Source organism: Homo sapiens, chromosome 11, assembly GCF_000001405.40.
Source record: "Homo sapiens chromosome 11, GRCh38.p14 Primary Assembly".
Lineage (NCBI taxonomy): Eukaryota > Metazoa > Chordata > Mammalia > Primates > Hominidae > Homo > Homo sapiens.
Window position 1 is genome coordinate 58,221,196 of NC_000011.10, and position 22,782 is coordinate 58,243,977.

The 22,782-nt window shown below is 36.3% G+C and overlaps 1 protein-coding gene and 1 pseudogene across 1 annotated transcript; both read right to left on the reverse strand.

The window, feature by feature from the left end:
• Nucleotides 1-6,686: 6,686 nt before the first annotated feature.
• Nucleotides 6,687-7,723, reverse strand: OR10Q1 (olfactory receptor family 10 subfamily Q member 1). Its single transcript, NM_001004471.2, has one exon. The coding sequence runs from the start codon at nucleotides 7,678-7,680 to the stop codon at nucleotides 6,721-6,723; it is 960 nt and encodes a 319-aa protein (NP_001004471.1). The 5' UTR covers nucleotides 7,681-7,723; the 3' UTR covers nucleotides 6,687-6,720.
• A 12,924-nt stretch (nucleotides 7,724-20,647) lies between these two features.
• EIF4A2P3 (eukaryotic translation initiation factor 4A2 pseudogene 3) lies at nucleotides 20,648-21,934 on the reverse strand (annotated as a pseudogene).

Sequence of the window (22,782 nt, forward strand, 5' to 3'; positions counted from 1 at the left end):
ATCATGTTTTTGTCAATGAACACCAAACATATAATCCAGTTTCTGAAATATGACATGGCCTCTTCTCCATTCAAATTTACTATCCCTCAACATTCTCTACCTTGTCCTAAACACTTGCCCCAATTTCCTGCTTGTTTTTATAGCCCTTGTGTATTTATTTATTTATTTATTTATCTTTTTTCCTCTCATGAACATTAGATCCATGGAATCAGAGACTTTGGCAAATAGTATATTTTGTTGAATTATTTGTTTAAAAATTAGTAAGTGAGGCCGGGCACGGTGGCTCACGCCTGTAATCCCAGCACTTTGGGAGGCCAAGGTGGGCGAATCATTAGGGCAGGAGAGCGAGAACATCCTGGCTAACACGGTGAAACCCCGTCTCTACTAAAAATACAAAAAAATAGCTGGGCGTGGTGGCAGGCACCTGTAGTCCCAGCTACCTGGGAGGCTGAGGCAGGAGAATGGCGTGAACCCGGGAGGCAGAGCTTTTAGTGAGGCGAGATCGCGCCACTGCACTCCAGTCTGGGTGACAGAGCGAGACTCCATCTCAAAAACAAACAACAAACAAACAAACAAACAAACAACAACAAAATTAGTAAGTGAATGTACAAAAGAAGTATTTATTGAAAGAATTGTTGTATTATGGCATAAATGGGTCTTCATAAAATAGTTTCTTACAGATCATCAAATGTGTGTTCTGTGGTCTCTGGGGATGGTTATCCCCTATCCCAATTGTGCCCCATCTCTTTTGAATAACGTATTTTCCCCAATACTATGAGTGTCATACTTTTCCCTTCTAATGAAAGCTAAATTGAAACCAAAAAGAGGCAATTAGGACAGTTCTCAAGTTGGAACTAGTGGGCAGAGATAGGCCCAAGCCATAATCACCATCACATTTCAAACTTCTAGTGATTTTCATCAGATCCTCTAATTTTACAATGTGGTTTTTCAAAGTCATTGCTGAATGAGAATGAGAAAGAGAGAGAGAGAGAGAGAGAGAGAGAGAGAAAGAGACAGAGAGAGAAGAGGATGGAAGTTGGAGGACATCACTATAAAATTATCTGTTGAGATTCTTGATGGTACAGGTTATTTTTGACTCATCCAATAGTCACAAAACAAAATGCCCAGAATGTGCTGTTGTATAATAACTTTTCTCAATCAACCATTTCCTTATTTAGTCACCTCTCCATCTACACTCATTAGATCTAATTAGACAACACAGATATGCAGAAACATACATTCATGCTATGGTTTCCTAGATCGTCAAAATGTGGGTATGAGAAATCAGAATTCTTGGGAAATTTCAAAACTATAAATTATCCTTAAAATATTTTCAATATTATTTATACTCTTTACTCATTATTATAGATATCTAGAATTTATTTAATAATTATAAATATCAGGGTTATATTATATACAGCATATAGTAGGTGATAGCAAATAACCAAGCCCTGGGAAACTCACTGTGAACATTATTAGGTGGTATTTAAATAACCAAACATTCATATCTCCCAGGCAGGTAAACTGCACTACATAGATTCCCAGTTCCAGATGCAATTTAAATATTTATTTGCTTCCAAAACGTATTATTTCTTGCAACACCACTCATATTTGCATAAAATATCCTAGGCGTATAAGCTTAGTAATAATATTCATTTTACTTGTAAGAATGACTCACTGTTAACAGCAGACAGAGCCATGAACACACACATGAAAATAGCCACAAGCAAGACTGACTGATTAGGCAGTAACTGCTTCTCCGCTAATGCTCTTGTACTGATTTTGGAAACGAAGACTTAGCCTTTGACTCTGCATGTGTCATCACTTTCTGCTCTTGCTTTACCTTTGGCATGAGTGGATTCCTCCGAATCAGTAACGTCTCTATGTTAACTGTTACGATTTAGTTCTTGCAGGAGAATTTTAATTTTTTTCTGATTTTTCTTGATTTCTCAACTACTTTTTCTCAGAGTTTGGATTTTAAAAATATATATATTTTTTGAGAAATGCTGAGAAGGAATCTCACATCAGCATTTTACTTCCACCACTGTGTCTGACCCTTCATTCACCTATTAAACAATCAGAAGAGAGATGAAGAAATCCAGTGTCACAACATACCTGTGATGCTTTTGTAGTGTATTCTGGCTTCAAGGTGCTTATTGTTTAGTAGTGGGGGACATATTTTCAAATAATTATACTGCCTGATAAAATGTATTTTAATAAAATTCCAATGAGAGAGACATAGAAAGAGAATGTCAGTAGAGGGAGAGGTTACTTTCTTGGCAAATACTTCTCTGTAAGACAATTAACACTAACGACACATTCACATACCCAAATGGCTGGATGAAGGGAATGAGCAGGGTTTTGAAAGGAGCAGAATTTTTAAAGAAGTGGTGAACCTGCAGGGGAGGAAAGCTAAGCTACTCTTGCGAGTTCTGTCTTCTACTTATGCTACCTACAGGCTACCTTGATATGAGGGGATCATCATTTCCCAAAAGAAACATCACTGATTAACATTTCTGTCCCATCATCTGACTCGTGGTGTACTGTTATTTCATTCAATATTCTCATTCTAGAATGTAACAATTTCAATGAAAGACTCGTATAAAGGAATAATTTTTCAGTAAGGAAAAGGAGCTCTTCCATGTACATTGAAGCATTTCTTCACAATAGCTATAACATAAGATTAACCTAAGTGTTCACCAGTAGAAAAGTGGATGAGGAAAATTAAATCTTGTCATTTGTGACAACATGGATAAATCTGGAGGATATCACATTAACTGAAATAAGACAGTCACAGAAAGACAAATACTGCAGGATCTCATATATGTAATGTAAAAAGGTTGAACTAACAGAAACAGAGTAAAAAGATGGTTACCAGAGGCTTGGGGTGACAGGATTGGGGAGATGTTTGTCAAATGACATAAAATTGTAGTTAGACAAGAGAAATAAGTTCAAGAGATCTATTGTATATCATGGTGTCTACAGTTAATTATACCTTATTGTGTATTTGAAAATGGCTGAGAATAGATTTTAAGTATTCTCACCTCAAAAATAATGTGTCTGGAATAATTCATATGTTAAATAGCTTTATTTAGTCATTTGACAATGCCTACATATATTAAAACATTATGCTGTATGCCACAAATATATACAATTTTTACTTGTCAACTAAAAAATAAAAAAAGAAAAAATAAGAAAGGGGAACTCACTCTATTCATCTAGAATATGTATAGGAAGGTAACTGGGAGAACCCAATAATTCAATTTGAAAGGTTGAATCAACCCTCTTTTCAAGTGTAATATTTTACCCTCTTCTTTTTGAGTTCCAGGTTAATTTTATGAATGACTTGTGACATTAAATAAAGAATGAAAGAAGGTATGAAAATTCAGTTTCAAACTTCTCTTTTGTTGGCATTCCAGACAGTGCCTAGCACAATGTATACAAATAATTGATTCATTATGTTCTGATGTGACTTGGCCTGGATAGGTTGACATGCAATCTGCTAACTAGAGAGTTTATTTTCTTCTCCAGCATTTACAGTGGTCTTCACTACTTCCCTCCATCTGCAGTTTTGCTTTCCAGTTTCAGCTGCAGTCTGAAAATATTAAATAGAAAATTTCAGAAATAATCAATTTATAAGTTTAAAATTGTCTGACTTTCTGAGTAGTGTGACAAAATCTCTTGTCATCTTATTCTGTCCTGTCTGGGATGTGAATTATCTCTCTGTCCAGTGTATCCACACTGTATAACATTTTATGCTTCTGAAATCCAACCATGGACATCGTCATAGCTTGATGATCCAAGATCACCCCAAGCAGATGATCCTTTTTCTGGCCATCAGAAAGTCAATAGTAGCCAGATGTTGTGTTATAATGCCTGTGTTATTTACCTCATTTCATCTAATCACATAGGCATGATATCACCTCACATCATTATGAAGGGTGAGGAGTACTGTACATTAAGATATTTTGAGAGAGAGAGAGAGAAACCACGTTCACATAACTTTTATTATAGTATATTGTTATAATTGTTCTATTTTATTGTTGCTGTTGTTAATCTCTTACTGCGGCTAATTTATAAGCTAAATTTTATTGTAAGTATGTATGTGTAGGTAAAAAACATAGTAGGTATAGGATTTGATACTATCTATGGTTTCAGATGTTCTCCGGGGGTCTTGGAAGTACTCCCTTTGGATAAGAGAGGACTACTGTACTTAGAAGCTGTATTAGTCCATTCTTATGCAGCCATAAATACACTACCTGAGACGGGGTAATTTATAAACAAAAGAGGTTTAATTGAATCACAGTTCCACACTGCTGAGGAGACCCCAGGAAACTTACAATCATGGTGGAAGGTGAAGGGAAAGCAAAGCACATGTTACATTGCTGCAGGCAAGAGAGTGTGCACAGGGGAAACTGCCACTTTTAAAATCATCAGATCTGGTGAGAACTCCCTCACTATCATGAGAACAGCATGGGGGAAACCGCCTCCATGATCCAATCACCTCCCACCAGTTCCCTGTCCCCTGCACATAGGGATTACAATTCGAGATGAGATTTGGGTGGGGACACAGAGCCAAACCATATCAAAAGCAAGGCATTTCTAATGTATTGTTAAATCCAATGACTGTCCCCAGAATATGTAACACTTTATAGTTCTTCTCCTTATCATTGTGTGAAATCAGGTTAAAAATTAGGAGTTCCAAAAGCAATTTCAAAGGGAAAAAGAAGTACCCCAACCCCCACCAAAATAATCCTAATCTAGAAAAAATATAAAAAGTGGATCTGAACTATGATGATGGGAGGTTTATATGCCAAATAAACCTACATGAACCTCAGATTCCTTCTAGAAATTATATTTCTGATTATAAGAGGAACACAATCTTATTTTGGAAATCAGGGAAAATTAATAAAGAGGAAAACTAGAAAATTCATAATTCTACGTCACAGATAACAACTGTTAACTTTTTGGCGTATTTCTATTCCTCATTATGCATGTACGTATTTTTATAAAATTGGGCTTTTATGGTAAATACAGGCTTGAATCTTGATTTTATTACTTACAGGTATAATGATAAACATTGCCCTTTATTACTAAATATTAGTGATTTTAGTATGCTGTGTTTCTGTATCCAATATTGTTGGAAATTAGATTTTAATCACTTTTCATGTTATAAATGTAAGAAACACACTTATATTTTGTTTTGTTTGACATCCTGTTAATTTTCTGAGGTTATGTTTTTAGAATAAGAATTCCAAAATTAAAGAATAGAAACTTTTCATGGGTTTTGGTAAACGTAACCACATGGGATTCAAAAAGTTTATAACAATTTCTTTTTCTTTTCTTTTTTTTTTTGAGTTGGAGTCTTGCTCTGTTGCCAGGCTGTAGTGCTGTGGCATGATCTCGGCTCACTGCAACCTCCGACTCCCTGGTTCAAGCGATTCTCCTGCCTCAGCCTCGCAAGTAGCTGGGATTACAGGCACATGCCACCACGCCCAGATAACTTTTGTTTTTTTAGTAGAGACGGGGTTTCACTACGTTGGCCAGGATGGTCTCGAACTCCTGACCTTGTGATCCGCCTGCCTTGGCCTCCCAAACTGCTGGGATTACAGGCGCGAGCCACTGCGCCCCACCAGGTTATAACAATTTCTTAGGTCAGTTTAATATCCACTGGCAGATATCTTCACTCTCTTCCTGTAGCTGCTAATTAAAATCAGCTTATGATCTGGATCCAGACCCTCACCTGATAGATTGCACCCTCCCTCAGCTCTTATGGGAGAGGTAATTGCTTGTAAGAACTATCCCTGGAGTCCTCTGGGCCTGGCTGTTCCTCAGGGTGTAAATGAGAAGGTTGAGCTGTGTGGTGTCCACTGTGAATACCATAAAGGGAAGTGGATTTTACCTGAGGGTTTATTTGGGGTTGGAACACAACCCCATGTACATGAAGAGGTAACAGCCATTCTGCTGCAAAACTATGCTGAGGTAGGAGTAGTGCCATAGTAGTGCTACCTGCTCAGTGGATCTGTGAGCAGCAGCCCTCATGAAGGTGTAGGAGGTCGTGAGGAAGGTGGAACAGCAAAGACTAGTGTGAGAGCCACCAGCACAGAGGGCTCATGCAGGCAGGGCTGGCATAGACCAGAGGTAATTCTCCATACCCTAGCAAGGCTGGTACATAGTAGGTGATTAGTCAATGAAAGAAAATTCCTAGCCCCTTTCTGGCATGAAGAAAATGAAAGCAACCAGTTGGGATGTATGGTGCAAAGGAAATTAATGCATTAAGTAAGCTATTGTTTGTCATATACTGATACCCAAAACAATAATAAAATGTGTTTATTTGAGCAAAATATGTCTTTATGAATATTCCTTACTTAAGGCAACTTTCACAGGGTAAATTACATCATCTCCCCAGGAGGCAGCATGCCTATCAGCCTTTATTCACAGTATGTATGGGGTGTTCCTAATATGGCAATTGACATAGGTGAGCTGCAAATCCTTAAAGTAGAGCTAAGTAAACTAGCATTCCTACGCTGTAAGTTCTGTCCAAATTTTCATATCTTAGTCAAAGCACTTCAGAAAAATGAGCATGAATTGTGAACTTGGGGCAAATATGGCAAAAAAGAAACATCAAGTGCACAGTGTGAGAAAGTACTACAGTTCTGTGTCATTTAGAGTTCTTTGACACAGCAACAGACAGACACCCAGCCCAGTGCCCCTAAGCCTTCAGTTGGCGTCAGAGGCTGCTTTACGGATAATGGCACTCCTCAGAGCACCTTTGACATCCTTGTTCCTAAGGCTGTAAAGCAAAGGGTTGAGTAAGGGGGTGACAAAGGTGTAGACCAACGCGATTTGGCTGTCCTCATCCTCTGAGGTGCTGGACCGAGGACGCAGGTACACGAGGCTGCAGCAGCCATACTGCAGCAGGACCACGGTGAGGTGGAAGGAGCAGGTGGAGAAGGCCCGGCGGCGGCCCTCGGCAGAACGGATGCTCAGGATGGCACAGGTGATGAACACGTAGGAGACGCAGATGAGCAGGAAGGGGATGGTCAGCACGAGGATGCTCACGACATAGAGGACAGCCTGGTGCACGCGGATGTCAGCGCAGGCCAGGCGCAGGACGGGAGGCACATCGCAGAGGAAGTGGTTGATTTCCTGGTGGTGGCCGCAAAAGGGCAGGGTGAAGATTAAGGCGGTGAGCTGCAGGGAGGGGAAGAGGGCCAGGCCCAGGGCCCCACCCAGCATCTGCGTGCACAGCTCGCGGGTCATGATGAGGGTGTAGTGCAGCGGGTGGCAGATAGCCACATAGCGGTCATAGGCCATGATCGCCAAGAGGAAACAGTCCGTGCTGCCGAGGGTGACAAAGAAGAACATTTGGGCCCCACATCCAGCCAACGAAATGGGCTTCTGGGCCCCCAAAATGTTGGAAAGCATCAAGGGTACTACCACGGTGGTGTAGCAGAGTTCCAGGAAAGACAGGTTGGACAGGAAGAAATACATCGGGGTGCGGAGGGTGCTGTGTGTGCACACCACCCAGATGATGGCTGTGTTGCCACAGAGGATCATCAAGTAGAGGAGGAGGAAGAGAAGGAAGAGAAGAACCTGGAATTCAGTGGCTGTGGTGAACGCACGGAACACAAACTCAGTGGGCTCAGACTGGTTGAAGACAAGTTTCCCCACAGGCATGTCTTATGCAAAAGAATAGGACGCGCTGAGCTCTTCTTGGCTGAGTTGCTTTATTTCTTTTTTTTCTTTTTGAGACGGAGTCTCGCTCTGTCGCCCAGGCTGGAGTGCAGTGGCGGGATCTCGGCTCACTGCAAGCTCCGCCTCCCGGGTTCACGCCATTCTCCTGCCTCAGCCTCCCAAGTAGCTGGGACTACAGGCGCCTGCCACTACGCCCGGCTAATTTTTTTGTATTTTTTTAAGTAGAGACCGGGTTTCACCGTTTTAGCCGGGATGGTCTCGATCTCCTGACCTCGTGATCCGCCCGCCTCGGCCTCCCAAAGTGCTGGGATTACAGGCGTGAGCCACCGCGCCCGGCCGCTTTATTTCTTTAGTAAAAGCAGGAGTGTACAATTTTATTTGGAATTAACTATTTAGTAGCTAGTTTCCAATCACGGTGCATGAGAATGAATTCACGATATAGGGTTTGGTATACTTTTCCTTGGAAATCCTCATGAATGGGATAGACAGTCATCTGCAGAAATTCCTGGGGGCAAGACATGTAGACACATGTAGATGTTCCTTGTGAAATATCTCCCCCCACCCCGATATTTTCAATCCAATTGATAAGACTTAATTATTTTGCTTGTATTTAATTACAGTGAAGAGTTGTATGGTTGCACATATTTTAAAATTAGATAAATGAATTTGTCTTTTACTTTTTTCAGTAAGCACTCTCATTGAAATATAACATACATGTGGAGGAATTCACAAATCCTAAGTGTGAAGCTTGATTTGTTTATTTATTTTAACATCGTAAATACGCCAGTATAACCACTACAAAGATTAAGAAATAGAACGATTCCAGTGACCTACAAACATCCTTCATGTTCTCAGTCTTTATGCTTCACAAAAGTAACCACTTTTTGACTTTTATCATTACAGATTGATGTAACTATGTTTCAACTTATATATGAAATGCTAAAGCATGTACTTTATTGTAACTGGCTTCAACATTATGTCTGCAAAGGTTATTCTTGTTGTTCTGAATCAATCCTTTGTTCTTTCCATTGCTTTATGGCTATAAGTTATTCACTTTACATTCAGTTATTTTGACTCCACATACAAGTAGGAAAACACCCATTGTTACAATCTTTTCTGATATGTACTCTTCATATATTTCCTCTCTTTTGAACATTTTATCTAAATTTCCAACAGGAAGCTAAACTTTTGGACTCAAATAGTTTCAAATGAAAGGGAAGTGAACAGAGTCAGGTTAAAATTAAAGTGGAGCTTCCTGAGATAAGAAAAGACAATGAGGAAACTAAAAATGCAATAGCACAATTGAATTATGCATTAACATAATCAAGAGAATAAGAAAGACCTTTGCAAGCATCTGGGAAGTTAAAAATACCTGTGAATTAAGCACTTTCAGGTTAGACTACAACTTTATTTTTAATACAAAAATTTAAGAGACAATACAAAATATCTACAGAATTTTAAGAAAAACAAATTGGAGTGAAAGAATTCTGTATCAAAGCCTTAGTGATTTATGTTCAAAAGCAACAGAAAGACTTTCTCAGATTTGGAAGGGCTTAGGAATTATTTCATTCTAAATATAATTTTAAAAATCCCTCAACAAAGACTATGAGTTGCTGCATGATTAATCAGAGTAATCAGAACATATACTTTAAGGTTGGGAAAGTTGTAATGTAAAATAATATGCTTTGGAAAAGCAAATAATAAAATATGTATTTAATATTAAATAGTGCAAATATTGTTAAAAGCAAAAAAGAATTGCTGAGAATAATTTTTAAAGATGTGCATAATATAAAATATGAAAACTAAAATAATTATGTATATTTAAAACCACAATTTATATAATAGAAAAACTGATAGGGAGGGATGGGAGAAATGAAAATATGCTAATTTCCTAAACCTATGTACAAAAAGACTCCATAAATATTTTATTTAGATGTGACTAGAGAAATTAGTCACAACCATATATATCCAAACACATATTTCAAACATATTTCTGAATAATAATCATCAATAGAATAAAAACCAGCATATCCATTCCAAATGATCAGAAGATTTTAAAAAAGTAAATATAGCATAGAGAACAAAAGAAACAAAGAAAACTGTGAGCAAGCTTACAAGATAAAATAGGTTAAAGTAAACTGAGAAAAGCAAATATTTATGAAAATAAATCTAAATGGGGTTTATGTTCTAGTAGAGACAGCCTCATATTCACAAATGAAAAAAATTCAATCACATATGAATATAGTGACATAGAAAGGCTAGCATCCACTTTTGTTTAGCACTGTATTTTAGAACTTAACCAATGCAATAAAATTTAAAAAGATGCAGATTTGGTTGTCTAACCAAAAACACAACAGAATAAATTGAAGAAGTTAGGACGAATAAGATAGTCTTCATGGTGTTTAGTTCCAAATGAAATATAATAGAGAGTCTTTTAACTAATCGTCACTTAACTGATGTATCTGATAAGTCAATACTCCTCATTTTCTCTGTACAACATACTATATGCTAAACCTGACACTCTGAACACAGGAGATCTGAGCTTGCTCTCCACAATGTATAAACATTCCTACACCCAGAAGTTGACTTGCATGTATGTAAATTGGTTGGATTTTGCACACCCTGCTTATATCATGTGCATTTATTTTTGTACTTATGTAATTTTATTAAATATTACAAAATCAAATAAAGTGTTATTGTGAATATATATTTAATGAAAATTAATAATTCAATGCTTGAGAAATACTTGATAATTACAAGTTGCTAATAATTGCTGTGGAATAAGGTGTGAGCCAGACCATTATAATAGGCAAGGAGGGAAAGTAATAACATTTTGAATAATTTTATATTCATATTTGATATGAATCTAATTTTCACTTTATGTTAAAAAAGCTAAAACTGGAATTAATACATGATCCAGGCAAGAAAGCTTTTGACTTCAGGTAATACAAACTCAGTGTAAGCCTCTTGACTCTATATCAAAAGGTTGATGAATAAATGTCCACTCATATCATTTAAATCAAAGTAAAATCATTAAGGTAATTATGTAATTTATGCTTTGAATCACAGCACACTCTTCCTTTCTTTTTTTAAATCAATGATACTGTTAGAAAATGTTCTTCTCCCCCAAAACAACCAAACTTAATGAATGAATAAATGATAAATAACACACCAGTGAAGAAACAATAAATAACAAGTAGAATGATTTGAAGAAAACTACTAAATTTTGCACATATGTGCCTGGATGGAAAAACTCACTCAATATTTTGACGTTAATTGACTCTGAAATAATGTATTGATTCTATGCAAATCCTATCAAAATCCCTAGAAAAACAAGCAAGTAAAAATACAAAAAAAGTTGAAAAGAGTGAAACAACAGAGTGAAACTTTTATCACATTACATTAAGATGTGTAACAAACAAGTTATAAAATATGTTATATATTATCATATCATAAATCACAATGGTACTTGTAGAGCACTACAGATCCTGAATAATTGAATAGGAAGACTCACTAATAATGGCTAGCTGTTCTGTTGCACTTATTGTGTCAGACATTATTCTATGCACTTTACATTTATTAACTCATTTCATAATGGCCCTCTATAAAAGGGTTTTTATAACTATTTTACAGATGAAGAAGTTGATGCACAGGGAGGTTAACTACCTTACCCAAGATCACACAGATAGTAGGTGTTGGAATGGGAATTTAAACATAAGTAGACTGACTCCAGGGTCTCTTTCCTTCATCACTTTATTATAATATATTGTCACTATCTACTACGTGCATTAAGTTTCATTATCTGTAAAATAGAAGTGAAAATACACTTACCTACCTTCTCAGGTTGTGAGACTTGAACAAATTATTCTGTGAAAGTACTTAGAACAGTCCCAGCACAGAGTACACATTCAATGTGAAGTATATTAAATATTTTTACCATTTCAAATCAATTAGAAAGGATCAATTTCCTAATATGGCATTAGGACAATGAGGGAATCATTTTGGAAGTTAACCCTAATGCATAGACATTATGGATCCTTACAGAAAATGTATAAAGATTAAATGTTTCGCCGGGCATGGTGGCTCATGCCTGTAATCCCAGCACTTTGGGAGGCCGAGGCGGGCGGATCACAAGGTCAAGAGATCGAGACCATCCAGGCCAACATGGTGAAACCCCGTCTCTACTAAAAATACAAAAATTAGCTGGGTGTGGTGGCACGCGCCTGTAATCCCAGCTACTCAGGAGTCTGAGGCAGGAGAATCACTTGAACCTGGGAGGTGGAGGTTGCAGTGAGCCGAGATCTGGCCACTGCACTCCAGCCTGGTGACAGAGCAGACTCCGTCTCAAAAAAAAAAAAAAAAAAAAAGTTTCAAAATTTATTTCTAATGGACTTAGGTTTCAAATATTTTTAAAAGTAAAAGAAAACTAGAAGAGAGTGTAGATTAACTGTTTTTCAGATTTCAGGGTAGATAAACATTTATAACCAAATGAGGAAAGGGCAGAGTACAAAAAAATGTTGATATTGCAACAGAATAAAAATGTTAAAGTTTTGTAGGCAAAAACACAATAAGCAAATTGAATAGCAAGTGACAATTCAGATAAAAAACCTATCAGAAAAACAAATAATGGAAATTCAAAAAAGAAACATGCAAAAGCAAACAAATATATACAAATTGTTTTGTATATATTCAAATAAATATACAATTAAAGAAAATGGAATCCTCTTTTCTGTTTATCAACTAATAGCAATGGAAAAATGATAATTCCTTGTGTTATTAAAGTTGCAAGGAGAGATGTATTCCCAAATATGCTGGTGAAAGTATAAATTGCTGTAAAAATTTGTGAAATACAATTTGGTAATATAGTGAAAGACTTGAAGAAATGCATGCACTTTGATTCAGCAATATTGCTTTACAAATTTATTCTTATAAACTAAACATGCTCATAAAATCATTGACAAGAATGTTTGTCATCGTTTTCATTATAATAGTAAAAAATCATATCAACCTAAATATCAATTTAGAATGCTTAAATTAATTGTAGTCTATTAATTTTGTGGAACAATGTGTAATTGTCTAAAAATGACATTGTGGAAAAATAAGCAGATTGGGAAGGTTCATAAAAAAGCAGATTATAAAACAGCATTATATCATGATTTACTTAAAAGATAATTATATCATTCATAAAAAATAGAACCTACTTCAAAATATTAACAATGGGTATTGCTAGGTGGGTGGGATTGTGGATCTTTTTGCTTATGGCTTTCTGTTTTTACAAATTTTATAATGAGCATACACAATTTTGCAATCATATAATAAATTAAAAGTCTACTTTTATCCTTTGGTATCTGAACTAGTGTTGGCAAGGAAGGATGGTAGTGTCAGTCACATGGATTTTGAAGTTAGATATGGGTGTGAAACCCAGTTTCTTCACTTACTAATTTAATTTTTGCATTGACCACATTACTTGATGAGCCTTGGTTCCCTAATGTATAATTGAGGATATGAATATGGATCCTTATAAAAAATTTATGAAGGTTAAATGTTTCAAATATGTACTATTTCTGAGACATAGTTCCAATGAATGTACCTGCACTTCTGCCTCTTTTCTTGCAGTGATGTGTTTCTCTCAGGTATTTATTTACTCTTCAGTTCTTATCTTTTCCAGAGTAGAGAGTGAGGCGCCTCCTAGATCTCGCAGTTGCTCTGCTAGACCTTAAATAAGAAGAAGAGTAAGAGAGAAAAGGAAGAACAAAATGGAAGTGAGATTTCAGTAGAAAATTTGTAATTATATATCGTCAAAACCAAATCAGAGGCCGGGCGCGGTGGCTCACACCTGTAATCCCAGCACGTTGGGAGGCTGAGGCGGGCAGATCACGAGGTCGGGAGATCGAGACCATACTGGCCAACATGGTGAAACCCCGTCTCTACTAAAATACAAAAAATTAGCTGGGCGTGGTGGTGCATGCCTGTAGTCCCAGCTACTCGGGAGGCTGAGGCAGGGGAATCGCTTGAACCTGCGAGGCGGAGGTCGCAGTAAGCCGAGATCGAGCCATTGCACTCCATTAGACTCCGTCTAAACAAACAAACAAACAAACAAACACCAAACAAACAAAAAAACAAATAAGATAGTTTTTGACCCAGAAAGGCATTTAAAAATGATTCTATCTTACTAAGACGTGAACATCAAATGATCAATATTGGGAGCAGCCAATATTTGGTGAAAAACATAAGCTGTCAATAAAGCAAAACATGTAGCATTGGGAGAGCTCAATGTGTGCTAAAATATCACAATGGAGCGGTTGCAAGGAAAAATCAGCACACATGTTCAATGTGAGGCTATAACCTATTAAAAACCAAACACATCAGAATTTATACTTACAAAGTAGTGTTTTCCTTTCCAGTGGTCACTTTCAAAGGCTTTGGACTTCAATGATTTTACCTTATTCAAACCATTTCTGGGGCTCCTTTGGGAATTATTTTCAAAGTCCCTATATATTTTCTTGAATATTATCAGTTGTGACATATATTCACACTTGGATGACACATTTGCTTTTTTTCTTAGTAGCAAGACATTTGATATGCAGTGAGATGAAATACAGTGAAGTAACTGGGTAGTTATATTCTGCACTCTGGAGTTTGATCAAAATAGAAATTGGTGAGAAGCTAATGTTATTGTGTGGTAGAAACACACATTTCCTCCCAGCTTTTCATGAAATGTAATAATAAGTATTATCATTATTTTTAGGTTAATCATTCCAGATGTGTGATATAATCTTTGTATACATTTCTATCTTATTGAAGTATTTAACTAGAATTAATTGATTCTGTCATGCAATTTCAACTCTGTTGGCCATTTATCTTGAAGTAACCTGTCCATTGGCATGAATGGAATATATGACATTTTCATTTATGTCAACATTTTTATCTGGAGAATGGGTGAGGGGTTGGTGGCACCTGAAAGTTCTTAATAGAAATATTTCCTGGACCCATCCCTTATTTCATTTCTAAAAGATCTCTGTGCATATATACTACATTTCCTTTATCTCTTCATCTGTTGATGGACACATGGGTTAATTCCATTTCTTGGATACTGTGAATAATGCTGCAATGAACACAGGAGTACAGATATATTTTGGAATTCTGCTTTCATTTCCTTTGGATATATACCCAGTAGTGGAATTGCTGGATCATAAGGTAGTTCTATTTTAATATTTTGAGGAATCTCCATACTATTTTGCATTTGTCAAATTAAAAAACAATAGAAGAGCTCTGTGCAAATAAATTTCTGTCTTCTGGATCTGCATCACCCTATAGTATGGCATGAAACATTAAAAATTTTATCACCTAAAAGGCCATGCAAATATATAAGCAGTATTTATTATTCTCATTATTCTGTTACCCTCCCCAAAGTTGTCAGAGAAATTTTCAACCTTGTCATCCTCAGCATCCACAGAATTCACTGATTTCTTGGTGCCCTTATTGCTTCCCTGACAGCTTATGCTTAAAACAACAAACTCCTGGCAATGCCTGTTTGATAAAAATTTCAGTCAGGGTTATATTTGGGCTCCATAAAGTCAAGGATGTCTGTCTTGTTTATGACTGTATCCTCATCATATTTGAACTAATTTGAAGTTAAATCTCATGTCTTTTAAACTTTCTTTCAAAGCCAATATTCAGTGGCTCCTTCTATAACCCAATTAGCCTATTTAATTGTTTTAGCCCCACACAAATTGGGGTTTTTCTCAGTCCAGTCTTTATATTTTTGTTTACTACATGCAACAAAGAAGAACCTAGGTGGGATGGATTCAGCTGATAAACAGTTGGTAGGAAGCACAGCAGTTAAGCAGTTGATACACTTGTTGAACCAATAAGTTTGATAATATTGAGAAACTCATCTAGGTAGGAGTTATCTCTCAGTGGCTGATGGGCAGTGTTGCAATGTGTAATCTATGTGTACTACTAATACATAAACATTTACATATAAAACTGAAGGACTTTTGAAAATGTCAGGGAGCCATGGAACCATAGAAAAGCCCAGTCAAATATGTTAAATGCATGCTCATTTAGAAAAAATATATAAAATAGAAACTCTATATCTTTAAGGGAACTCAAGACGCACTTAATTCTATCCCCTTATGTCTTTCATGCGAAAACTCAGGCTTACCAAGATTAAGCCTTGTCCAAAAGCATGTGCTACATATAGGCATACCTGAGGCCAGATTTCAGATTCTATTGTATTAGTTAGCGGAGAGTGGAGCACATAGATGTGCCTTCAATATATCCTTTTCATCTACACTGAACTTAGTTAAAAGCATGCAAACAGCTATGCAGAAAGGGCACATTAGTATGATTCTTGCTGCATAGTGGAAACACATGCCCAAGCTTAGTCTAGTGCTATGCACACAAGTAAGGGAGACAATGCCATTTGTAGAATAATTTAATAACTCCTCAATATTTTTCTTACCCAAGTTATTTTCTCTAATGGCACTCACCGCTGTGCCATTCCTAGTTGATCACACATTTAGGAGACATTTGATCTCTCAACAAGAATCTGAGTCCTGGATTTGTAATTTACCAGTTTTAGAACTATGGATGAAATTATGACTCTCTATGAATCTCAGGTTTATACTGACAGAGAGTATAATATAGTTACTCTACAGTGTTATTGTGAGGATTAACAGTAAGGCTTATTAAGTGCACTGCCTGATTTCTAGTAGGTATTCTTTTATCATTCTCCTTGTTGCATTCGCAGCCCTATGTTTATTAACCAATATTCAGTTCCTTGCCATGATCTCTCTTGCTCTGAGGACTCTGCATCATCTACCCCCTTCACCTTGGACATTGTTCTCTTCCATGCTTCTACTCTTCCTTCAGAGCTCAGTTCAAGTGTCATCTTTCCCTGATCTTCATTTTTCCACATCTCAGTGATAGGTGCTTCTTCTATGAACTTCCAGAAAAACCTCTCCTCATCTTGACTCTACAGCCACTGTACCTTATTAATAAATTAACCAAGCAGGCAAATATTGAGTATTTGTTAGGAACTCAAGTCTTGGGCTCAGCTATGTGGAAGAGAATTATGAGGCATGATTACCAATTTCAGCTTTGCAAGAGAACACAATGCATAAGAGAATTTAAACATTCTCTGAGGAGCTCATTTCTAAATTGTGTTCCTTACAACATAAATTTTTCATGATGTCCCAGAAATAAAAGTCTTTGTGTCAAATCTGAAAACATTCACACTTTTTCTGATATTAACAATGCACTTAGCTCAATGTTTTGTGAAGTCCTGATGTAAAGCAGCCAGCCTACTTTTACCTGAAGAAATTCCCAGCTCCATTTTACCATAGAATACAATTTTTTTCACATAACACCAGGAAGCTGCTTATGATTTAATGATGTTGCTTGAAAAAAAGGAGTTCCATGCCATGTTCTTCAGGATCGTCCTACAGAAAGAACACTGATAGAAAAGGCAAAAGACTTGAATTCCATCCTTGCTTTACATTTATTAGGCATGCGATGCTAGGAAATTCAACCATTTATCAGAGTTCCCTTTTCTGTATCTGTAAAAGTGGATAGTAATCCTTACTCTGATAATTCATTTGTTGTCCACAAAAATTCAATATTGATGTATATGAACCAGTTACAAAGCATTATAAAATGTGTGTTTTTATTATTATTTTTAGAAAAAAGTCAAAATCAAACTAATAAAAAGGTCTTTTAGGGCGTTTCCTTACCACTTTGAAATTTGCTTCATTCCATCAGCCACCTAACCAAATTCACTTATGAGCTGGTTAACATTTTGCTGAGGTGCTAAGAATTCCTGCTATAGATGATGAAAGAAGCTCTCCCAGAGAGATTCTGTCTATCTTCTTACAGGGAATAATGGAATGAGGGTCCATGAGTTTCATGTTGTCAGCATTTCCTGGAAATGACAAGCAGACAGTATATGATACCCTCATAGTATTTGGATGACAATGGGGAAGTTTCCTTTGTATGCTGATATTCAGGAGAAGAATCACATCTTCGAAATTTGGGTTAAGGATGGAGTAGGGTGAGAGGGACCTCCTTCGGAAGAGTGATACTATGGAATAATCACACTTCAAGTCCTGAATGAGAAGTCTTGCATCTTCTCAATGATAGAAAACAGACTCTGATAGATTTACTCAGAGTCCAGTCTTGCCGAATTTGGTCAGATTATTTAGTATCCTTTATGAAATCTCTTTAAAATTAATGAGCCTCCAAAGAGGTGGAATTTCCCCAGTGGTTCCTCTTAAACTGAACCCAACTAGAGAAAATATTGGAAAAAATTTCCAGTGTCTATCAACTAAGGCAAGGTTTCCAGGCAGCTCTTTTCTGTGGTCACTGTAGAAAATTGTTGTCTGGGGATTTCAAGTGTGTATTCTCATTCCTTTCCTCTACCCAACAGAGACTTACTGATGTTGTATTCGAGAAAAATTTTTCCAGTGAGTTGTTGAAGGCAGACATTCATTGCAACTTGAGCTCATGAAATGTGTAATGAACTAACTCAACAGCAGGTTACGCATCTGGGATTCTAGGGTCTAGTCATGGCTCTGCCATTAGTAACTGTTGACCTCAGGCAAGTAGGAAAGCTCTTTTATGAGATTTTTCATTTGTGATATGAAACTTGGTATTACATGGACCTCATGGGTCTTTCTATTTCTAATATTCTATAAATTATGCATTTTATTACAGTTTTAAATTGGTATATAATTATACATATTCAGAGAGTACATGTGATATTTTGATGCATGTACACAATGTGTAATATCAAGTCAGGGTAATTAGGATATTCATTGCCTCAAGTATTTATCATTTCTTAGTGTTGGGAAATATTTCAAATCTTCTCTTTTAGCTATTTTGAAATATAAAATAAATACTTGTTAACTATAGTAATTCTACTGTGCTTTCAAACCCCACAACATATTCCTTCTCACTAGCTGTATTTTTATAACTGTTAATGAATCTCTCTTCATTGCCACTCCCTCATGTTCTTCCTTGTTTCTGGTAACCATCATTCTACACTCTTATCTTCATGAGATCAGCTTTTTTAGCTCTACAAATAAGTGAGAACATAACATGTTTTTTTTTTTTTTGTGCCTGGTTTATTTTACTTAACGTAATAGCCTCCATAGTTCCATCCATATTGCTTCAAATGACACGATTTCATTCCTCTTCCAATAGCTGAACAGTACCCCACTGTGTATATATGCCACATTTTCTTTATATATTTATACATTAATGAACACTTAAGTTGAATCCATATCTTGGCTATTGTGAATAGTGCTGCAATAAACATGGGAATGCAGATATCTCTTTGCTATACTGATTTTTTTTTATTTTTGTTGTGCACCCAGCAGTGGGATTTCTGGATTATATGGTAGTTCTACTTTTAGTTTTTTGAGGAACTTCCATATTGGCTGTACTAATTTACATTTCTACCAATGGTTTAGAGTGTTCCCCTTTCCCCCATCCTTGCCAGTATCTGTATTTTTTCTTTTTGATAACAGCCATTTTAATTGGGGTGAGATAATATCTCATTGTGGTTTTGATTTGCTTTTCCCTTATGATTAGTGCTGTTCAGCATTTTTGCATATACTTGTTGTCCATTAGTATATTTTCTTCTGAGAAATGTCTATTCAGATCATTTGGCCATTGTTTCATTGGATTAACTGTTTTCTTGCTGTTGAGTTGTTAAAGTTGCTTATGTATATTCTGGTTATTAATGCCTTGTCAGATGTATAGTTTGCAAATATTTTCTTGCATTCCGGTACTCTTTTGAGTTGATTGTTTTCGTTATCATGCAGAAGCTTTTTAGTTTGATGTAATCTCATCTATTTTTGCTTTGATTGTCTGTGCTTTTGAGGTCTCCATAAAATCTTTACCCAGAACAATGTTGTGAAGCATTTGTCCAATGTTTTCTTCTAGTAGTTTCATAGTTTCAGGTCTTACATTAAGTATTTAATCCATTTTGATTTAATTTTTGAAAGTGATGAGAGATAGAGGACTAGTTTCATTATGTTGAATATGGATATACAGTTTTCTTAGCACCATTTATTGAAAGGGCATCCTTTCCCCATTGTAGGATCTTGGCATCTTTGTTAAAAATGAGTTGGATGTAAATGCATAGATTTATTTCTGGATTTTCCGTTCTGCTCCATTGGTCTATGTGTTTGTTTTTATGTCAATCTCTCTCATCCTGTTTTGAGTATTATAGTTTTATGGTATATTGTGAAGTCAGGTAATGTGATGGCTCCAACATTGTTCTTTTTGCTCAGGATTACTTTGGCTCTTCAGGGTCTTTATCAGCTCCATATACATTTTAGATTTTTTTCTCTTTCTGTGAAGAATGTCATTAGTATTTTGATGGGGATTTTGCTGAATCTATAAATCATTTTGGGCAGTATGGGCATTTGACAATATTAATCTTCCCATCCATGAGCATGAGATAGCTTTCCATTTTTTTGTTTCCTCTTCAATGTCCTTCATCAGTGTTTTGTGGTTTTTTTTTAAAGTGAATTTACAATTTATTTAACATTCAAACTTCATTAAGACATGGGCAATATGGCAATTTTACTGGGGATTAAGCCCAAACTAGGATGATTGCTTGCTGGGGGTTAGCAGCAGGGTGCAGTTCACGCTTAGCACTAATTAAATGTTTTATTGAATAATTACAATATCAGACAAAATGAATTCAAATGGTTTCTAAAAAGTCAATTTTACAGGCCTTTCTACTCAGGCTAATGAAAAACACAATAAAGGCAGATATGCTAGTTTAACATAATTTACTGATTTTATACAGCACTTATATCTTTTAGTCCACAAGTATATTACTAAATGATAGAGAACATCTACTACAATCATTTCTACAGAACTAGGAAATAAATTTCTAAGAAAGAAAGTTTTTACAGACACCATCTTTTATACCCACCCTAATAGTCTAACATTAAAGAGGATAAAGCCAATGACTTTCCTCACAAGAGCTCATGACTAATGTCGCCCCATGATCTGTTTTGAGCATTGAGATAAGACTCAAATATTCCCAAAGAAAGAAGCACAATGCATGTTGTGGTTGCCTATTTGGCAACAGTGAGCACTGCATCCTGAACTATCTCATCCCAGGAATTAAATAAAGTTAGTCACATTCATGGGCATTTCTTCCACTGTATTATTGTAGAAAGTCTCAATGTCATGAAGAATTATTTTGTCCTCTTCAGTAACAAAATTTATAGCCACACCTCTGCCAATTCTGTGAATACAGTTTTCATTATTGGTAGTTAGATCATAGTTTATAACCAAAGACACTTGTTGCACATCAGTCTCGTGAACCATCAAGCCAGTAGTGATCAGAACACCACTTGACTCTGATCAGAATTCCCTCATGATAACATCTCTCTCCTTCTGGTCCATGTCACCATGCAGAACAGAAATTATGAAGTCTCTGGCATGCATTTTCTCAGTCAGCCAGTCCACCTCATACCTTGCATTACCTTGCATTGGGAAAAATGACAGCCTGCATAATAGTCAGTGTCTCGTACAAGTCACAAAGTGTAGTCAACTTCCATTCCTCTCTTTCAACATTAATGTAAAACTGTTTGATTCCTTCTTCCTTTTTCACCAGAATTTAAACTGGATCTCTCATGAATTTTTTTGGTCACTTCCAACACATCAGTTGGCATTGTGGCAGAAAGCAACACAACCTGAATACTTCTATTTAATTTTTGGAAAATCTCATAGATTTCATCCTTAAACCCTCAGCTCAACATTTCATCTGCATCATCCAAAACAAACATTTTGATCCACCTTGGAGAAAAATATCTTATGTTTAGCATATCAAACACTCTCCATGGTGTACTAGCAACAGTATGTGGTGCTTCTGCCTACAGTTTTTGCATTTAATTTTGAACATTTGTTCCACCAATACAGGCACGACAAGTTTCTCCCATATAGTCTCCAAGTGCCAGAATTACGTTTTGGATCTTTAATACAAGGAACAATAGCTCTGGGCTGAATAGCTGGAGGCTTCTCAAAACCACAAACATGGAATACCCCTAAAAGAGACTCCTTTAAATTCATACTATCAAAGTTAACAATCTCATTTCAGTTGCTCTTGATGACAACATTGGATCCATTCCCTTTGGGCTGCCATGTTTTCTGTTATAATCCATGGAGTCACTAGACATGATACAAAGAACAACTCAGCCTGACTGAAAAGCATTTTGTATTTTTTATTATAGAGATCTTTCACTTCTTTGGTTAAGTTTATTCTTAAGTATTTTTTTAAGGTAGCTACTGTATATGGAATTGCTTTCTTGATTTCTTTTCCAGAGCGTTTGCTATTGATGTATAGAAATATTACTGATTTTTCTATGCTAATTTTGCAGCCTGCAAATTTACTGAATTCATTTATCAGCTCTAACAGTTTTTTGGTGGAATCCTTAGGTTTTTCAAAATATAAGATAAGGTCATCTTCAAATAAGGATAATCTGAATTCTTCCTTTCCAATTTGGATGCCCCTTATTTCATCCTCTTGCCTAATTGCTTTGGCTAGGACTTCCATTATTACTTTGAGGAGGAGTGGTGAAAGTAGACATTTTTGTCTTATTCCAAACGTTAGAGGAAAAGCTTTGTTTTTCCTTGTTCAGTATGATATTAGCATGGGTTTGTCTTATATAACCTTCATTGTTTTGAGGTATGTTCCTTCTACACCTAGGTTGTTGAATGTTTTTATCACGAAGGGATGTTGAATTTTGTCAAATGCCTTTTCATTGTTTGTTGAAATAATCATATGGTTTTGTTCTTGAATCTGTTAATGTGATGTATCACATTTATGAATTTGTGTACGTTGAACTATCTTTGCATTCCTGGGATGATTCTCACTTGATCAGGGTAAATGATCTTAATGTGTTCTTGAATTCAGTTTGCTAGCATTTTGTTGGTTTTTACAACTATGTTCATCAGGGATATTGGCCGGTAGTTTTATGTTTTGTGTGCGTGTGTGTCTCCTTGCCTGGTTTTGCTATCAGGGCAATGCTGGCCTCATGGAATGATTTTGGAAGTATT

Bases quoted from the DNA above. Each gene is read 5' to 3' on its own strand.
- OR10Q1 (NM_001004471.2), bottom strand. From the start codon at position 7,680: ATGCCTGTGGGGAAACTTGTCTTCAACCAGTCTGAGCCCACTGAGTTT.